The sequence below is a fragment of the Homo sapiens genome, chromosome 11, assembly GCF_000001405.40.
Source record: "Homo sapiens chromosome 11, GRCh38.p14 Primary Assembly".
Lineage (NCBI taxonomy): Eukaryota > Metazoa > Chordata > Mammalia > Primates > Hominidae > Homo > Homo sapiens.
The window spans coordinates 61,741,971-61,758,249 of NC_000011.10; the positions used below are offsets into that span (position 1 = coordinate 61,741,971).

The 16,279-nt window shown below is 60.0% G+C and overlaps 2 protein-coding genes and 1 long non-coding RNA gene across 26 annotated transcripts in view, besides 10 other annotated features; 2 read left to right on the plus strand and 1 right to left on the minus strand.

Annotated features, from left to right (window-relative positions):
• The window catches only part of DAGLA (diacylglycerol lipase alpha), a 66,611-nt gene extending 61,580 nt beyond the window's left edge, over positions 1 to 5,031 (plus strand). For all 6 annotated transcript variants that reach the window (NM_006133.3, XM_047427544.1, XM_047427543.1 and 3 more), the window contains one exon: positions 1,562 to 5,031. In NM_006133.3, coding sequence (NP_006124.1) covers positions 1,562 to 2,519 — 958 coding nt within the window. In that variant the 3' untranslated portion in view covers positions 2,520 to 5,031. The remainder of the gene's footprint in view (positions 1 to 1,561) is intronic.
• Positions 5,195 to 6,056: an enhancer, noted in NCBI's record as "H3K4me1 hESC enhancer chr11:61514637-61515498 (GRCh37/hg19 assembly coordinates)". NCBI's record gives its function as "activates a minimal SCP1, AML or CMV promoter by ChIP-STARR-seq in naive H9 embryonic stem cells {active_cell/tissue: H9 hESC(naive)}" and the evidence as "EXISTENCE:reporter gene assay evidence [ECO:0000049][PMID:30033119]".
• Positions 6,917 to 7,778: an enhancer, noted in NCBI's record as "H3K27ac-H3K4me1 hESC enhancer chr11:61516359-61517220 (GRCh37/hg19 assembly coordinates)". NCBI's record gives its function as "activates a minimal SCP1, AML or CMV promoter by ChIP-STARR-seq in naive H9 embryonic stem cells {active_cell/tissue: H9 hESC(naive)}" and the evidence as "EXISTENCE:reporter gene assay evidence [ECO:0000049][PMID:30033119]".
• Positions 10,456 to 10,595: a silencer, noted in NCBI's record as "silent region_3397". NCBI's record gives its function as "represses an Ori minimal core promoter by ATAC-STARR-seq in GM12878 lymphoblastoid cells {active_cell/tissue: GM12878}" and the evidence as "EXISTENCE:reporter gene assay evidence [ECO:0000049][PMID:35858748]".
• The window catches only part of MYRF (myelin regulatory factor), a 35,883-nt gene continuing 30,269 nt past the window's right edge, over positions 10,666 to 16,279 (plus strand). For 16 of the 19 annotated variants that reach the window (XM_005274222.2, XM_005274223.2, NM_001127392.3 and 13 more), the window contains exon 1: positions 10,666 to 10,820. In XM_005274222.2, coding sequence (XP_005274279.1) covers positions 10,775 to 10,820 — 46 coding nt within the window. In that variant the 5' untranslated portion in view covers positions 10,666 to 10,774. Of the gene's footprint in view, positions 10,821 to 10,898; positions 11,390 to 13,407; positions 13,473 to 16,279 lie in introns of those variants that run through there. The other 3 variants (XM_047427530.1, XM_047427535.1, NM_013279.4) reach the window with 3 other exon arrangements.
• Positions 10,716 to 10,815: a silencer, noted in NCBI's record as "silent region_3398". NCBI's record gives its function as "represses an Ori minimal core promoter by ATAC-STARR-seq in GM12878 lymphoblastoid cells {active_cell/tissue: GM12878}" and the evidence as "EXISTENCE:reporter gene assay evidence [ECO:0000049][PMID:35858748]".
• On the minus strand, positions 12,059 to 15,694 carry MYRF-AS1 (MYRF antisense RNA 1). The gene is made up of 4 exons (NR_026882.1): positions 15,519 to 15,694; positions 15,113 to 15,393; positions 13,665 to 13,726; positions 12,059 to 12,475 (listed from the first exon to the last, which is right to left on the minus strand). It is a non-coding gene; the product is annotated as an MYRF antisense RNA 1 (long non-coding RNA).
• Positions 14,082 to 15,281: an enhancer, noted in NCBI's record as "P300/CBP strongly-dependent group 1 enhancer chr11:61523524-61524723 (GRCh37/hg19 assembly coordinates)". NCBI's record gives its function as "activates an origin of replication core promoter dependent on BRD2, BRD4, P300/CBP, MED14 and CDK7 cofactors, with strong dependence on P300/CBP, by STARR-seq in HCT116 cells {active_cell/tissue: HCT116}" and the evidence as "EXISTENCE:reporter gene assay evidence [ECO:0000049][PMID:35650434]".
• Positions 14,082 to 15,434: a biological region, named in NCBI's record as "P300/CBP strongly-dependent group 1 enhancer GRCh37_chr11:61523524-61524723".
• Positions 14,145 to 14,790: an enhancer, noted in NCBI's record as "H3K4me1 hESC enhancer chr11:61523587-61524232 (GRCh37/hg19 assembly coordinates)". NCBI's record gives its function as "activates a minimal SCP1, AML or CMV promoter by ChIP-STARR-seq in naive H9 embryonic stem cells {active_cell/tissue: H9 hESC(naive)}" and the evidence as "EXISTENCE:reporter gene assay evidence [ECO:0000049][PMID:30033119]".
• Positions 14,791 to 15,434: an enhancer, noted in NCBI's record as "H3K4me1 hESC enhancer chr11:61524233-61524876 (GRCh37/hg19 assembly coordinates)". NCBI's record gives its function as "activates a minimal SCP1, AML or CMV promoter by ChIP-STARR-seq in naive H9 embryonic stem cells {active_cell/tissue: H9 hESC(naive)}" and the evidence as "EXISTENCE:reporter gene assay evidence [ECO:0000049][PMID:30033119]".
• Positions 14,875 to 14,924: an enhancer, noted in NCBI's record as "active region_4799". NCBI's record gives its function as "activates an Ori minimal core promoter by ATAC-STARR-seq in GM12878 lymphoblastoid cells {active_cell/tissue: GM12878}" and the evidence as "EXISTENCE:reporter gene assay evidence [ECO:0000049][PMID:35858748]".
• Positions 15,435 to 16,078: an enhancer, noted in NCBI's record as "H3K4me1 hESC enhancer chr11:61524877-61525520 (GRCh37/hg19 assembly coordinates)". NCBI's record gives its function as "activates a minimal SCP1, AML or CMV promoter by ChIP-STARR-seq in naive H9 embryonic stem cells {active_cell/tissue: H9 hESC(naive)}" and the evidence as "EXISTENCE:reporter gene assay evidence [ECO:0000049][PMID:30033119]".

Here is a 16,279-nt window from a genome sequence, read left to right on the forward strand (position 1 = left end):
ATTTGTATTGAAGCTTACACACATACATGTGCACACAATTATTAGTTATAAGTACACAGGTCACCCCCTACAGACATGCACATGTACAAGACACACACCAAGACAAAGGTGGAGACACATATACAAGGACACATGTGGACAGGCAGGTGCTCATGGAAATGCATGAATACACCTGTGCACAGACCCAGACACACAAGCCAGCTGACATACACAGACGTCTGGTCTACACACTCATACACATGAACAGAGGCGTGCACACATGCTCACAGGGGCACGCACATGGGGGCCACAGCGCCCTTGCTATTCACACACTCTTTGAGGGGTGCGAGGCTCTTAAGTGGTAGTCCTTCCAGGGGAGGATTGTCCTGCCTTTCTAGGACCTTCCCACACAGGCCCTGTGTGCTTGGTCACAGATCTGGTCAAGAGGCTGCTTCCTGGCCCTTGGTAGGGACAACTGGACGTCTCTCCCTGCCATTTGTGCATTTCCTGTGGCAGCTGCACAACCCGATGAAGAAGCCAGTGTCCATTTCCGGCTGCGGTGACTGCTGCAAGCCACCCACTCCCTGCCCTGTCACTCATTCCCTGCAGGCTGGTCTGCGGAGCCAGGGGCACTAGGCTCCCCACCCAGCAGAGGGCTGCGGCCCATGGGAGACAGGAGGAGACCCGGATGAGGAAGGAAGTGATGAGATCCCTGGGAGTGGCACCCAGGGTTGCTGGCTCTGAGATTGGGGTGGAACCAGTTGGGCAGCTATGTGCAGGGCTCTCTCCCTTCCCTGTCTCCCTGCTGCCCTCTGTCCCTCCCTCCCTCCCTCCCTTCCTCCTTCCCTCCCTCCCTCCTTCCCTCCCTCTGTCTCTCTCATTCCACTGTGGCCTCATGAGTGACCTGGGGCAGGCTCATGAGTGATCTGGGGCAGCCAGTCTATCAGAGCCTCATTCTCACATTGGTACAATGACAGGGGTTCTGGTGCAGAGAACCCCAGCAGCACTCCTGAAGTCCTAGTGCTGCCAGCAGGGCCTTAGCCCCTCAGGGACCCCGCGGCTCAACCCAGCATCAACTCTTTTGTCTTCTATCTTGGGTTCTTGTGAGTTGTTTTTAAAAAATAATCATTCCTGGCTGGGCGCGGTGGCTCACGCCTGTAATCTCAGCACTTTGGGAGGCCGAGGCAGGCGGATCACCAGGTCAGCAGATTGAGACCATCCTGGCTAACATGGTGAAACCCCATCTCTACTAAAAAATACAAAAAATTAGCCAGGCATGGTGGCGGGCACCTGTAGTCCCAGCTACTCGGGAGGCTGAGGCAGGAGAATGGCGTGAACCCAGGGCGGAGCTTGCAGTGAGCCAAGATCGTGCCACTGCACTCCAGCCTGGGCGACAGAGCGAGACTCTGTCTCAAAAAAAAAAAAAAAAAAAGAAAATAAGCATTCCCTGCTGCACATCATCAACAACTGCTAAATGAACTGTACCCTTTATTCCCTGCAAGTTCCTTTTAGCCAGGGAGCTGGGGTTCAGTCCCCTCTCCCTTCTGAGTCTTATACCCCCTGCTCTCCTCTCCCTCTGCAGGAGCAAGTCCCAGTCTGAGATGAGCCTGGAGGGCTTCTCGGAGGGGCGGCTGCTGTCGCCAGTGGTTGCGGCGGCGGCCCGCCAGGACCCGGTGGAGCTGCTGCTGCTGTCTACCCAGGAGCGGCTGGCGGCGGAGCTGCAGGCCCGGCGGGCACCACTGGCCACCATGGAGAGCCTCTCGGACACTGAGTCCCTGTACAGCTTCGACTCGCGCCGCTCCTCAGGCTTCCGCAGCATCCGGGGCTCCCCCAGCCTCCACGCTGTGCTGGAGCGTGATGAAGGCCACCTCTTCTACATTGACCCTGCCATCCCCGAGGAAAACCCATCCCTGAGCTCGCGCACTGAGCTGCTGGCGGCCGACAGCCTGTCCAAGCACTCACAGGACACGCAGCCCCTGGAGGCGGCCCTGGGCAGTGGCGGCGTCACTCCTGAGCGGCCCCCCAGTGCTGCGGCCAATGACGAGGAGGAAGAGGTTGGCGGTGGGGGTGGCGGGCCGGCCTCCCGCGGGGAGCTGGCGCTGCACAATGGGCGCCTGGGGGACTCGCCCAGTCCTCAGGTGCTGGAATTCGCCGAGTTCATCGACAGCCTCTTCAACCTGGACAGCAAGAGCAGCTCCTTCCAAGACCTCTACTGCATGGTGGTGCCCGAGAGCCCCACCAGTGACTACGCTGAGGGCCCCAAGTCCCCCAGCCAGCAAGAGATCCTGCTCCGTGCCCAGTTCGAGCCCAACCTGGTGCCCAAGCCCCCACGGCTCTTTGCCGGCTCAGCCGACCCCTCCTCGGGCATCTCACTCTCGCCCTCCTTCCCGCTCAGCTCCTCGGGTGAGCTCATGGACCTGACGCCCACGGGCCTCAGTAGCCAGGAATGCCTGGCGGCTGACAAGATCCGGACTTCTACCCCCACTGGCCACGGAGCCAGCCCCGCCAAGCAAGATGAGCTGGTCATCTCAGCACGCTAGCACCCCAGTTGCGTGGCCAGCCGGGCCCAGGCAGGAGCAGGTGGCCCTGTGGGCACCTGGTGCCTGCCCCCTGCCGGGCAGCTTTAAGGACAGACCCCCAGGGGCAGTTTAGCCTCAGGCACAGGCATCGCTGCTGAGCTGGGGGTCCGCATCCCTACCTCAGCTTAGGACCCCCAGAGCCAAGGTGGCTGGGATCTGGCCCCACAGATGGGGAAAGATGGGGAAGGGTGTGGAGTGGGGAGGAGCCTGGGCAGCCTGCTGGGTGGGCCACACTCAGCCTGACTGCCCTCCATGGGGGCATTCTGGCACCCCCTGCTCCAGGACAGGCCATGGGCAAGCTGCCTCCCATCACTGCCTGCTGGCTGCTCTCCCAGGGGCCAGGTGGAGAGCAGTGCCCCCCGACACATGTATTCTCATCTGTGGTCCAGGCCGGCATCGTCCTGGCCACCCCCCAGATCTGGTGCCTGCTGGCCGGCCCCCTGGGGTGCCCCTGCCGAGGTGGCCTGCAGTGCTGTACATGTTTACAGAAGCTGCTGGGCTTGGCTCAGGATGTGTTCTGGGCTTGCAAGCCCCCCGCCCAATCATGTGTTCAGTAGCCGTCCTCTGAGCAGGGCCCAAGGCAGCCAGGGGCCTGGAGGGGCCAGAGGAGGGTGGGGTCAGGGCCGCCCCTTCTCTGCCTTGTGCCTCTCATGCTGCCTCCTCTGCCCATGGGTCCTGGGCACCCAGGCCTGCCCTGCCTGCTGGCTACTTCCTGGCTTACCTTCTACCCCCAAGGATCCTCACCACCCAAAGGGTGGTGGGCACTGCTGTGACCACCCCAGCTGCAGAGTCAGTGCCCTGGGTGGAAGGAAGGCACTGAGAGCCCCCTTCCTCTGAGGGCCCCACCTCACCCCTTGGTGTCACCCCCACCACGCCTAGGCAGCTCTGGGCCCTGGGATCTGGAACCAACACACCCCTGTTCCCCTCAGCTTTCCCTCCTCGCTGGCCTGGGCACCCTCCTGGGAGCAGGCCTTCCTCCCTCCCACCCCCAATGTCCTGTTGGTAGGAGGTGGGGCCAAGAGTGGGGTATGGTGGGCCTTGGCTGGAGACCTCTGTCCACTGCCCAGGGAGGGGCCTGGGGCTGGGAGCAGTCCCGGTTTAGCCTGAGGTCCCCATAGGGCTTCCTCCCCTGCTGGGTTTGGGAAGCAGTTAGGGAGATAGCGACCCGGAGTTTCCCCAGAAGCGGGGTGGGAGGGTGTGCATGCTAGTGTTGGCGCGTATGCATGTGCATGAGTGTGCACCGTTCCTAAGGAAGGGGCCTCTGGGGCTGCCCACCCTACCTGCCCTGCCTGCCTGCTGCCCCTCCCAGCCTGCCAAGAAAACGGTAGGGGAGCATGATGGGGCCTTTGAGGCAGGGTCGCAGGGACAAGCTCAGCTTTAGGCACCATCTGTTCCCATCGCGCCTGCTGCTGTGACCCGTTTTGGAAAACTGGTGTGTACCGAGGCGCTGACTGCACGGCTGACCGCCTGCTCGTGCCTTCATTCTGCAGCGGCATGGTCCCTCCCATTCTGGCTCCACCTGCAGCCTCCCTGGGTGGCCTAGGCTCCCCCGACCAAGAGACCTCCCTCTCATGATCACTGGTACCTGGGGGCCTGAATTCTGGCCCCCGGCTCCCCACACAGCTGGGACTGGCCTGGATGGCTGTCCTGGGAGCCCCTGCCCACCCTGACAGAGGGAGCTGGGCCTCCCCTCATCCTCTGTAACTCCCGCCTTCACCAGACTCAAGGACACCCTGGCCCTGCTGAGGCATACAGAGCTTCAGCCCAGCACAGAAGCAAGACAAAATCAGTGGCTCTTAGAGTTTAGAAAACAAGACAGACTCTCAGATGAAAGATCTGACAAGCACCGTGGCCAGTCACAGGGAGAGACTTGATGTCTGGCCTTTTAATTCCTCCTCTGCCAGGGTGGGTCCTGGGACCTCTAATGTGGGCATGTCGTCCACCCCAGGACGAGCCATCAGGGACAGACCCCCCACCCCCAAGGCTGCAGCCACACCATGTTTCAGGCTTGGGGCTGGGGCAGGCTTGGGCTCAATCCTGGGCACCCAGGGGCAGCCCACCCCTAACCTGGCTCCTACCCACCTCGCCCTTGAAGGATGGGCCTGCTGCACGTCTCCCTCCTCCACCCCATACCACACTGGGGGGTCTGAGCCACCCCCCTCAGCCCCGTTCGGCTCAGACCGACCCCCACTCCATCCCCAGACCTGCAGCACAAGTGCGCGGGCCTGTCCTCCCAGGGGCCTGGGCGACTCCATATGCAATCAGTAGCGAGCAGCCGGGCCCCACAGACCCTCATGCACTCTCTTACGTGCCATTCTCCCCAGACTTTTTTTGTACTTAATGTATGAAAGATCCAAACTAATATTGCTGTAAAAAGGAGAGACAAATTAATATAGCTTATTCTATAAATATATCTGTATATAAAGGTTTCTGTATATTGTATAGAGCTGTGTATAAACTGGATGTAGAAGCACGCTGGCTGCCTCGAATGTCTTTGCATCAGGTGGGGACTGGGTAGAAATTTGATGTCGAGGTTGCAGCAGAGCAGGGGGTTGGCATGGGGCCGGGGGCCGGGGGGGCCTCTGCCACTGTTCCCTGGATGGAACAGAAAGCCTAAGGGGGAAACAGATTCCTTGGGACCAGAGCCCGTTTCACCCACAAGACGCAGGGTGTGTTTGGGTGGTTCAGGTCCAGCCCTTTGTCTGTATTGGGTTAGAACTTCGTTTCTCAAAGTTCACGGTGCTCATGACTCACTGGGGCGCTTGCTAAATGCAGGTGCGGGTTTAGTGGTCCGGGGTGGGGCCCAGGTATAGATTTCTTACCTGCTCCTGCTCGGCTAGTGCCCTGGCCCGGGGCCACACTTTGAGTTGCAGGGAGGGAGTAGAAGACCCTTGAAGCCCCCTGTGAATGAGGGCAGCCACTTGCGGAGTCCTGCCTGTGTGAGAGATGTACCAGCGGGTGCACGTTCATACTACAGCCTGGAAAGATACAGCTTGCTGGCCTCCCCTTCCTCCCTGAGGGGTCTGAGAGGATTAGCTGCCCAAGACTGCCAAGCTGGCGACTGGGGGACCAGGCTAGTCTGACCATGCCCACCTCCCTCCCCAACAATGCAGACAGCTAGGGCAGGCAGGGGTGGAAGATCCCAGTGGGACAGCACTGAAATGCAGGGGCCACTAGAAGTCTTTGCTGAGGGCTTTCCTGAGAGGGCGCAAAATACCTGGCCAGACCCAGTGCAGCCCAGGAACCCCAGGCCAGCATAGCTTCCGGGCAGTGAGGCCTAGGGAGTGGCTGGAAGGCCCAGGTGGTGGGGCCTGCCCCCTCTACACAGCAGGTGGCGCTGTTCAGCCAGTCAGTCCCGCCTTGGCCGCAGAGTCTGGCCTCGGCACTGACCCAGCCAAGCTGACCGGACCTTTCCCTTCCCCTGACCCTGCCCCCATCTCGGCCCCCAGTGTCCAGTGGCTCTATTTGGTGAGGGGCTGGGGAGAGTGATAGAAGAATGCCCCCAGCCTTAGAGCCTGTCTTCACCCACAGCCACTGAACAGAAGCAGAAACGGGCCAAACAAGGGTGAAGACCTGCCCAAGGTCGCATGGGAGGTGGGGACAGACTGGGGACCAGAATCAGGGCCTCTCAGCCTAGGACTCTGGCCTCCACCACACCTGATGGCTTTCAGAGGTTCTTTGCCCTCAGTGGTCTCAATGGTCTGCAAATTATCCTGTCCAGTGAGCACAGCACAGGCAGAAGAAACTGAAGGCCAGGGAGGCTCTGTGGCTTGCCCGGGGCTGCAGCCAGGGTGTGGCATTGGGGAGGGTCTTGAGAGGGCAGTGCTGGGAAGGGCTAGAGAGGCACTCTGCCTCACGCTCCACTCAATACCTGCAGCAGCCCCCTCCTGTCCCGGTGCCCCTGCAGTCAGGAAGGGGTCTACCCTGCAGGACCCCACACTCAGGTGTGCCCTTGGGCCCTAGTCCGGGGAAGCTGGACCACCAGCCTCACTGGCTTGCTGGATTGACACTCACCCCACTTTGAGCCCTCCTCTTCCTCTGCGAAATGGCCTGATGCCAGTGCTGTGTGGGTCCACAGGAGGCCAGGAGAGTCCCACGGTGGGGAGGACAGGGCTGTACCTTCTCCTGGGCTGGCCTCTACGCCCATTACCCATTAACCCTCAGGTGCCAGCATCCCTCTCCCCAGTGCTGCCTTCGGTCTACCACCTCCTCCTGGCCCTGCTCCCACTCAAGGGACAGTGATGGGTGCTGAGAGCTGATTGGAACTGGAGAGGGCACCATTTACTGATCACTGACCTGGCACTTTACCTCCACTGTAAGGCAGGGATACTGAGTGTGCTTTATAGATGAGGCCTCTGAGGACAGAGGGCAGGCCTTGGGGACTAGGTGGAGCTGGCTACAGGGGACAGCCATGTCTGCTGGGCTAGGGCTGAAATCTCAGCCCCTCACTCACTGTGGCTCGGTAGAGAAGCCAGGGGCACAGATGAGGACTCATCTCCATTGATGGGCCCCCCTAGGTCCTTGTATGCAAGTCCCCTGGGCTACTTTCACCGGCCCAGCCACCTTCCTGCCCCAGCCTCTGCCCCAGCGCTGCTTGGGACCCAACTTCATTATGGAGTTGGCAGATGGCAGCCTCAACTCTTGGCTGAGCCCTTGAGTCTGGGACATTTCAGCCACCTCTTTCCTCCAGTCCAGAGATGAAAATCCCTGGGGACAGTTGCTCCTTTGCTCAGTGACCTAGTGTAACAGGGGAGATGGCAGGGCCTGAGCTCCCTTAGCCAGGTCAGCTGCTACAGGGTTAACAGGAGGCTCCATTCCACCCCTTCCAACTTCAAGGCTACCCTAGAGATTGAATAATCTATACTCTTAATTGATTATAATGCAATGGAGTTGGGGCGTTAGGGACAAAGTACGAGTCTTCCCTTCTACCTCCAGCCCTTGCTGACCAGGACAGGGACAATGTGTAGCTCAACGGATGGTGGTGAGAACTTAGATGATGGTCAGTTATGCAGTATGTGGGATACGGAGGAAAGATCCGTGGGTATGTGGAGGCTTGTAGAGAAGCTGGTTCTGTGGCTGGTCCCAGGCGACTCGTAATGTAAATCCGTTTCTCAGAATCGCGTGGTGTAGGCGGGTGTCTACTTTGTCCGCAGGCAGGCCTGACCCCGGGTGGAGGAGGGGCAGGGTGGAGAATAACAATTGTCTTAAGGGAGTCTGCGGAGGGAGAAAAACCTCTGGGGTGTATCAGCTGGAAAAGAATAGGAGTCTCAGTGTGGCCCCTCTCCCCCCTCTCAGCCCAGCCCCTGCGGGGGCGGTGAGGGAGCTGCGGTCAGCACACACAGCTGGGGCCTCCAGCAAAATCCCATTCTATATATCTAAGAGCAACAGCTCTGAGAGCGGCCCCCAGAGGGACAAAACCTCATTGTGAGGCACCCGCCGGCCTCAGCACCCCCTCCCCCAACCCCAGAACTGTCGTGGCATTGACCCTTTTCGGCGGGCCACCATGGGCCTGCTGACTGGGCCACATCTGGGGCTCAGGCATTGGCTGCCCCTCCCCCACGGCTGGCCACTGAGAACTGACAGGGAGGCTGGGGTGGGAGCGGCTTCCAGGCCTCTCACCCCATCCCCACGGGGTGGCCTGGCTTGTGCCCCACCCTCCCTGGGGATGCTGCAAGGCAGAGGTGAGAGTCCGAAGCTGGCTACGTTGGCATCTTGATCTGCCAGCAGTCCCCCACACCTCTGGCCTCTGTTTAGTGGCTTGTCAAACAGTGGTTGGGTGGGGTAGGTTTTTCCAGCTTTTACGTGCTGCCTTGAAGGGTCCCGAGAGGCTTCAAGTTGAGCCACTCTGAAGCGGGATGATTCTCTAGGTCTGGGATTCCAGAATTATCCGCTCCCAAGGTTTCAGAGGTCCAGGATTCTGTAGATTTTTGTTTGTTTGTTTGTTTGTGTTTGGAGACAGGGTTTTGCTCTGTCGCCCAGGCTGGAGTGCAGTGGTGCAAACATGGCTCACTGCAGCCTCACTGCAGCCTCAACCTCCTGGGCTCAAGCGATTCTCCTTCCTCAGCCTCCCCAGTAGCTGGGATCACAGGCATGTGCCACCGTGCCTAGTTAATTTTTTAATTTTTTGTAGAGACAGGGTCTTGCCATGTTGCCCAGGCTGGTCTCGAACTCCTGGCCTCAAGCAATCCTCCTGCCTCAACCTCCCAAAGTGCTGGGATTACAGGTGTGAGCCACTGGAGCCTGACTGGATTCGGTAGTTTGAAGATGCCACCATACATTCATTCAACACATTTATTGAGCACCTACTGTGTGCCAGGTCATGTTCTTGGTGTTGAAGCTATAGCAGTGACCGATACAGAAAAATATCTTGCCCTCGTAGGGCTTCCATTCTAGAGCAAGAAGGATAATAACAGAAACTAAATAGGAATCTTTTACATGGTGAGCAAGAAAGGCCTAGGTAGGGAGAACTGCTTTAGGTAGGCTGGTTGGGGACATGACATTTGAGCTGAGACCAACTGCTACAAAGAAGTAGCCATGTGGAGACAAGCATTGTAAACAGATGGAATAGCATGTGCCAAGGCCCTGTGGCAGGTGTAGGCCTTGCATGTTTGAGCAATGGCAAGGAGGTCTTGGTGGCTGTTATTCAGTGAGCAATGGAGAGAGGGGAAGAGCTGAGGCCAGTGGTAGAGGCGGGGCCTGAGAAACCAGAGCAAGACATTCAGATATTGTTTTGAGTGCAAAGGGAAACTTAGTTTTGCAAAGGAATGACATGATCGGATGTATGTTTCAGAAAGGGTGATTTGGGAGAACTGAAGGGGATATCAGTGAGACGAGAGGCTGTGCAAGTTGGGCAGGACAGAGATGTGGAGGCAGTCAGTCATAAGGGTGAAGGCAGGGGCACAAGGACAACCGCTTTATCCTGGACTTATATCGAGTTAGAACCTCCAGGTTTCATTATACCAGACAGGGCCACGGCAAAGGAGAGTTCGGATTCCCGGGGCAGCCAGGATTTGGCTCTGAACTTTAATGACCTTGAAACTCTTAGGCAGGGCGGGGAGCGGTGGCTCATGCCTGTAATCCCAGCAGTTTGGGAGGCCAACGTGGGCTGATCACCTAAGGTCAGGAGTTCGAGACCAGCCTGGCCAACATGAGGAAACCCCGTCTCTACTAAAAATACAAGTTAGCCCAGCGTGGTGGCGCCTGTAATCCCAGTTACTGGGGAGGCTGAGGCAGGAGAATCGCTTGAACCGAGGAGGCAGATGTTGCAGTGAGCTGAGATCGCGCCATTGCACTCCAGCCTGGGCGACAGAGCCGAACTCCATCTCAAAAAAAAAAGGAGCTTTTAGACCTGCATTGTCCAATACCACAGCCACACGTAACTGTTTAATTACAATTAAACAAAATGAAAAAATCAGTTCCTCAGTCTCAATAGGCACATTTCCAGTGCTCACTTGTGGCCAGTGACTACCATACTGAACAACACAGGGAACATTTCCATCATCACAGCCACAGGACAGGGCTTCCTGGCAGTCCTTAATGCATTGAGCCTCAGTTTCCCCATCTGTAAAATGCAGGTAACAACAGCATCTCCTTGATAAGGTGCCTGTGAGGAGTACATGAGATAATGCCTGTGTGGCCTGGCACATAACACACGTTCCCTAAATGCAGGTTGTTATTGTTGCTGAGCGGGGTGTGTGGGTGGCTAACGAGAGGGATGGGGGCTGTCTCTGAGGTTTGGATTCGGAATCGTGACATCTTGTCCCGTGCAAGACGAAGGCGAGGACGGCGAGGGCACACCCTTCCAGTCCCGACCCCACAGAGGCCAAGCGGCCCTTCGCCCCCACCCCGACCCGGGAAGGCCCCGCGCCCCTCAAGCCTGGGACGGTCTCGCGTCCCCCGACCCGGGACGGCCCCGCGCCCCGCAAGCCTAGGACTGCCCAGCGCTGAGCGCCGCCTGCAGGAGTCGGGAGCGTGGTGCCCGCGGCCGGGCTGGGCGCGGCGCGGGCCGGCAGGGGGCGCTGGGCGCGGCGGGCGGGGCGCGTGGGGCGGGCAGGGGCCGGGCCAGGGACGCGCGGGGGGCAAGCGCGGCGGCGGACCGGGCGGGACCGTAGCCGGAGCCCAGCCGGGACTGTCGCGCGGGCCGCGCCGGCGATGCCGCGCCCCCGGGCCGGGCTGTAGCGGGGCCGCGGCTGGAGTGTGCGCCGGGCAGGCGGGACATGGAGGTGGTGGACGAGACGGAGGCGCTGCAGCGCTTCTTCGAAGGTGAGAGACCGCGGGCTGGCGGCGGCGACCCTCTGGCGCTGGGAACCCCCGGCTGATCTCCCCGGGAACTGGGGCTCCTCGCTGTGTTTCCGCCTCCTCTGGCTGGGACCCTCCTTCAGGCTGGCACCAGCCCGCCAAGACAGGCTCCCGGGGCTGGGAGTCCCCCAGCGGTTACCACCCACCGCCGCTGAAGTTGGGCTCCCCCTCCCCGCTCCTCAACTCGCAGCTTCCTTGGGACTGTGTCCCCTTCCAGGTCCGGACTCCTTTGAGCCTTCCAGGACCCGGAACTTTCCCTAAATTGTGACACTCTCGCCCCCAGCAAACTTCCCGAGTCTGGGGACCCTCTACTTTGCTTCCCCAGAACCCCAAGCGGGATACAACCCCATTCAAGGCCCAGACCCCCGGTGTGCCTTCTAGGACCTTCCGTACCTCTTGAGGCTGGACCCCAGCCTGCTTCCCAGAATCTGTGACCCCCGCCTAGAGACCAAGACCCCCTGTGTGCCCTTCTGGTTGGCGCCATCCCCCATGACTTCTAGGAGCTGGGACCTCCCCACTGTGCTTCCATGAGGGTAGGACCACTTTCGAGCCTGGATCCCCTTGGAGACTGCCACCTGCTTTCCACAATGCTGCCTAGTGACTGCTCTCCTGTTTGGGGCTGGGACCCCCCTCCCTAGCATGCTCTCCTGGGGCTGGAACCTTCTTGAAGCTGACATCCCTGCCACCGGTCACCTCTGCTCTCTGAGACCCTTCTAGTGCTGTGAACTGCATCCCACCAGCCCTCTGAGGCTCCTCAGCACTATGTCCCCCCAACCCTGGAGCTGTGCCTCTCTGACCTCGCCCCCTCAAAGAGTGACCTCACCCCCACTTGACCGAAAGGAGCCCTCTGGGGTGGAATTGACATACACCCCATAATATCTTCTTCTGCCCCCACCCCTACATTGGTTTTGGAGGTCTGCTCCTCCATCTAACCAACTCCCTGTCTTTTCCTGGACGACCCCTGCCCCTCCTGCAGGGCCACCACTCCTCCTGGTGCTGGGTTCTGGAGGGATGGGACCGCAGTGGGAGGGGGAGGGGAAGTTCTGGCTGACTGCCTCCCAGCCCACTCCGCTTCTCAGAACCTCCCTGGAACATCTAGCCAGACCCTCTGGCCCCCTTTTGTGCCCCTGTCTACCAATGCAGCGAGCCCAGCCCCTGCCCCGAGCTCCCTCTAGTCCCTAAGGCCACATCCTGCTCCTTGGTGCATTGAGAACCTTCCCTTCATGTGTGAACCTATCAGGGCTACAGGGCAGGGAACCAAGGCCCAAGTTTCAAGCCCCAGATTCCTGTGGAGTCCTGTGGAGGAGAGAAGCAGGTCTTCCGGTGCCTCAGTTTCTCTCCCTCTGTGACTTGGGAGGCAGGAACCCTTGTTCACACCTGCTGGCTGAGCAGCCCAGGCAGGGGCACCCCTAAGCCTCAGTCATCCCACTCCAGGATTCTGGACACCCCACAGACCCAGAACCCAAGAGTTCAGGCTTGGACTAGATTGAATGGTTGACTCTGCATCAGGTGGGCCATCTGAGGGTCTTAGGCAGCCCTGCATCTGTCCCGGGGCTCTGGCTCTCCCCAGACACTGTTGATCCATAGGAGCTCTCGAGGGGCCTGACGCGGTTTGAGACCTTCAGGGAAGAGGGGACCAGACATTCGTGCTTGCTTGGGTTACTGTCTGGAGTGCCTTGAGCCTGCTAGGTACCCAGAGGACCCGCAGGCCAGGCTCCCTTGACCTCCACACTGCCTGCCCCAGGACGCTGGGCCCTGACAGAGAGCAGAGGGGTGGGCCTGGCTGGCCTGGACTCCCTGGCTCCCTCCTGACCATGGGTTGGGGGGTGGGGGCTGACGCCACGGCTTAGCCATGCAGCGGCCTGGCGGGGGGAGGCTGCGCTACTCCCTCCAGAGAGATAAGAGGAGACTCAAGAATGTCTGTGGGGAGCAGGGGAGGGGTGTGAGGCTGCCCGTCTAGGAGGGCTGGGCTGGAAACAGCTCCCAGCCCCTGCGATGGGGGAAGGTGTGGGTGGCCCCTGAGGCCTAGGGTCTCCAGGCCACTTGGGAGGGGAAGGCCCATGTGGGGGACCCACTGTAGGTGTGAGAGAAGGCCTGGGAGTGGCAGGGCCTGGTGTGCTTGTGAGTGTGTGAAGTGCGAGGGAGCGGGAAGTTGTGCTTTTGAGCCGTGGCTGCGTCACTCTTGAGTGCTGTCACACTCGGGGCTGGGGCTGGGGACACCTGAGCTCTCATCCTGGTCCCCACTTGGCCTTGGTCATCCCTCTGGACAGTGGGTAGCAGTCCCTGTGCTCTCGGCTCTGGGCTGGGAGACTGGGAAAGGGTTTTACCGAAGGGGCTGCAGCACAGCGCGCCCCCTCACCTGACGTGGTCCCCCTCCCTGGGCACACACCAAGCATAGGTGCTGGGTCCTGCCCTGTGCCGGTGGTGGGCTGGGGGCTAAGGCGCTTTGGACCTCAGGTGGGAGGCCGGGACAGAGCGGCCCCCTCGAGGCTGGTACAGCCGGGCCCCCGTGACCGCCCGGCTAATCCCCTAGAGAGAGGCAAGGCAGCCCAGATCGGCGGGCACAGGGCCTGCAGAGAGGGGACCCACCGGGCAGGATGCACTGGCTTCCAGCAGGTAACCGGGCCATGGTATAAGGGGGCTTTGGACTCCAGAGCCAGGGCAGGCACGGGACAGGGCAGTGTCTGAGAATCCTGCCAGGACCTCAGAGTTCTGGTGCAGGCTGGACCACTGAGAGTGGGGTGACCGTCTGTGCCTGGCAGGGAACCCCCAAAGAGCTCTTGCCCTCTTTAAGTCCTTTTTCCTCACCTGCAAGACAGGAGGGGGTGGCAGAGAAGAACCTCAGCTCTGAAGAAGCTCACTGCCCAGCCCTGGGAAGGAGAGACATGTTAGAGTATGAATGGCCGAGCCTGGAAGGGGTGCCTGCTGGCCCTAGATTCTAGGGGCACATGAGGCTCGAGTGAGCAACCAGTGTCCCCCAGAAAGCAGGTGGGTGTGCAGGGAGCCTTGGAGGATGGAGGGAAGTCGCCTTCCAGCAGGTGCTGGAAAGACCACTTGGAGTTTAGTGGGCCTCTGCCCGGCCTCTGGAGCCCCACCAGGGCTGGAGGAGGGAGGCCTGGGATTTCGCCCCTTCTGAAGCTGATGGGTGGCTGGACTGGTGACTTCCTTCTCTGGCCTCATTCCCCTCCCAGGGTAAGTAAGTGGGTTGGACCAGAGCAGGGGCTTCCAATGTGATTTTTTAACCATCAAACAAACTCATAGTCTCCTGATAGGACAGATACAGTGGATAATGGGGGCTGGGCTCCTCACAGCCCCTGAAGCACCAGGATACTGGTTTGAAAGCCACCCTTCCCGGCTGTGGGATGGGTAAGGGGAGGGGAATGGCGCTGGCTGAGGCTCAGAGAGAAGGGAGTTGGCCAGAGTTAGCCAGAGTGGACACCTAGCCCCCAGCTCCCTACTCTGCCACCAGTACCTTGGGGTTGAGGGGGCTACCTGTCAGGGACCAACATCTCTGCCTCCAGAGGGCAGGAGGAGGTCCCAGGTAGAGACTACCTGATGATTTGGAAGAGAGGACTCCCACCTGGACAGGAATCCGGGGGCTGAGCTGGGCTTCGTGATGGGGGTGGCACTGTGGCCCGTGTCAGCCTGTCTCTGTCTGTCCCTGGTGCACCCAGGGAGTAAGTAGATGGGAGGGGTGGCCAGGCACAGGGTTTCCTGAGCCCAGGCAGGGGAGGAAATGGTAGTAGGGGGTCTGACTCATCCCCATGTCCCCAGCACCCAGTGCAGGGCAGGGGTGGGGGGTGGGCAGGAAGTGCTCTCCGGGTCAATGGTGACAACAATGGGTATGTGAACAGAGGCGGCGGGGGTGGGGGACGCACCCCAGAAAGCACCTCTCTGGAGGGCCTGGGGTCAGTGCAGGGGTGAGAAACAGGCAGTTACCAACCCTTTGGCCTCAGGGACTCTCCTGAGACTGGAAGGCTGGACAGAGTGCTCCTTGGGGTCTTAAGTAGAGCCAAGGAGGGCATTTGAGGGCAGAATGGCCTTTTCCCTGGGGGCCTGACTCCCCAATTACCAACTCCCAAGGGGTTACAGACTGGAGGGCCCTGGCAGCAGAGGCTGCTGGGTAACAGCCCAGCAGAGCTGCTCATTGGCTGCCACCCTTGGACTTTGCCCTCCCTGATAAGGAACTGGGAGCAGAAATTATTAACTGAATCATTAACTGGGTGGCCCCGCCCTACCCAGGCAGCCTGCCTTACCTTCCCACCTTCCTCTTCACGGACCTAGCACCTTCCTGGGCCTCAGTTTCTCTCATTGCCTTGGGTGCTGGAGTATGTGGGGCCTCCTCTCCTATCTCCAGGCCTTCAGCCCCGGCTGCCACGGGGTGTGGGTACCTCTTGGTTGGGTCTCGGGGTAGGATGATGTAATGGTTCTGTGCATTCGCCAGCGAGGGCAGCTGGGGTCTGTTCCTAGCTCTCCTGCTTACCCACAGTGCTTCTCTTGGCCGTATCAGGGCACCGCTGTGCCTCCGCTTTCTCATCTGTAAAACGGGAGTGCAGTTGTAATGGCAGGGCCTCCGTCCCAGGGTTTCTGGGGTGATTAGGTAAGATTGTGCCTGGCCTGGTGAACACTCCATTGGTCCATGGCAGGTGTTCTGCGCCCTACCTTGAAGATTACTGGTCCCCAGGGTAGGTCAGTGCCCCTAAGCTTAGGGGGCTTGTTGAGCATGTTCTGTGGTTCTGTGTGCAAGGCCTGAACCATGACAGCTCTGGCCCAGCGTGGCCTGGTCCTGGTCCCTGGCACATCCAGTGGGGCCCGCCCCACCTCCCCCTCTGAGATTTGGGTTCTGTTCTTGCTGCCAGCAAGGAGGAGGGGCTTGGCTGTATTGTGACTTCATCTGCTGCACCCAGGCTCTTTGCACGTTGTCTTCCTGGAGTCCTGGGGTGCAGTGGAAGCGTGGGTGACGGCCTCCCATTTCTGAGGGGGACTGTGAGGCAGGACAGGAAGGCGATGATGTGTCAGGCTCCCTCAAGGTGGCCACAACAGAGCTGGGACTGGAGCCTGGGTCCCAGCTCTGTGCCAGCCTGGGATGGGCAGGGAAGGGGCCTCTCCTCCTGACATGCTGAGGGGTGGCTCCAGCACGGGTGGCCACGCCAGGTGATGTCCGTGCAGCCTCCTTGACCTCTCTAGACCTCAGAGCCCTCACTCACATGGTCAAGGTTGGGTGATGTTAGCAGTTAGATCCCACGAGTGCCAAGGCCTGGAGTGAGGGGGGGAGGGGCAAAGCCCCTGGGTGGGGAGTACAGTTGGGTCCGGAGCCCCCTGCCGGCCTAGAGTATGGAGGGGGCTCCCGGACATTCTGTCCTCCCTGTGCCCCAGGTCGCATCAGTGAGGGAAGTTCTCCCTCCAGCTGACCGGGGTCCGTG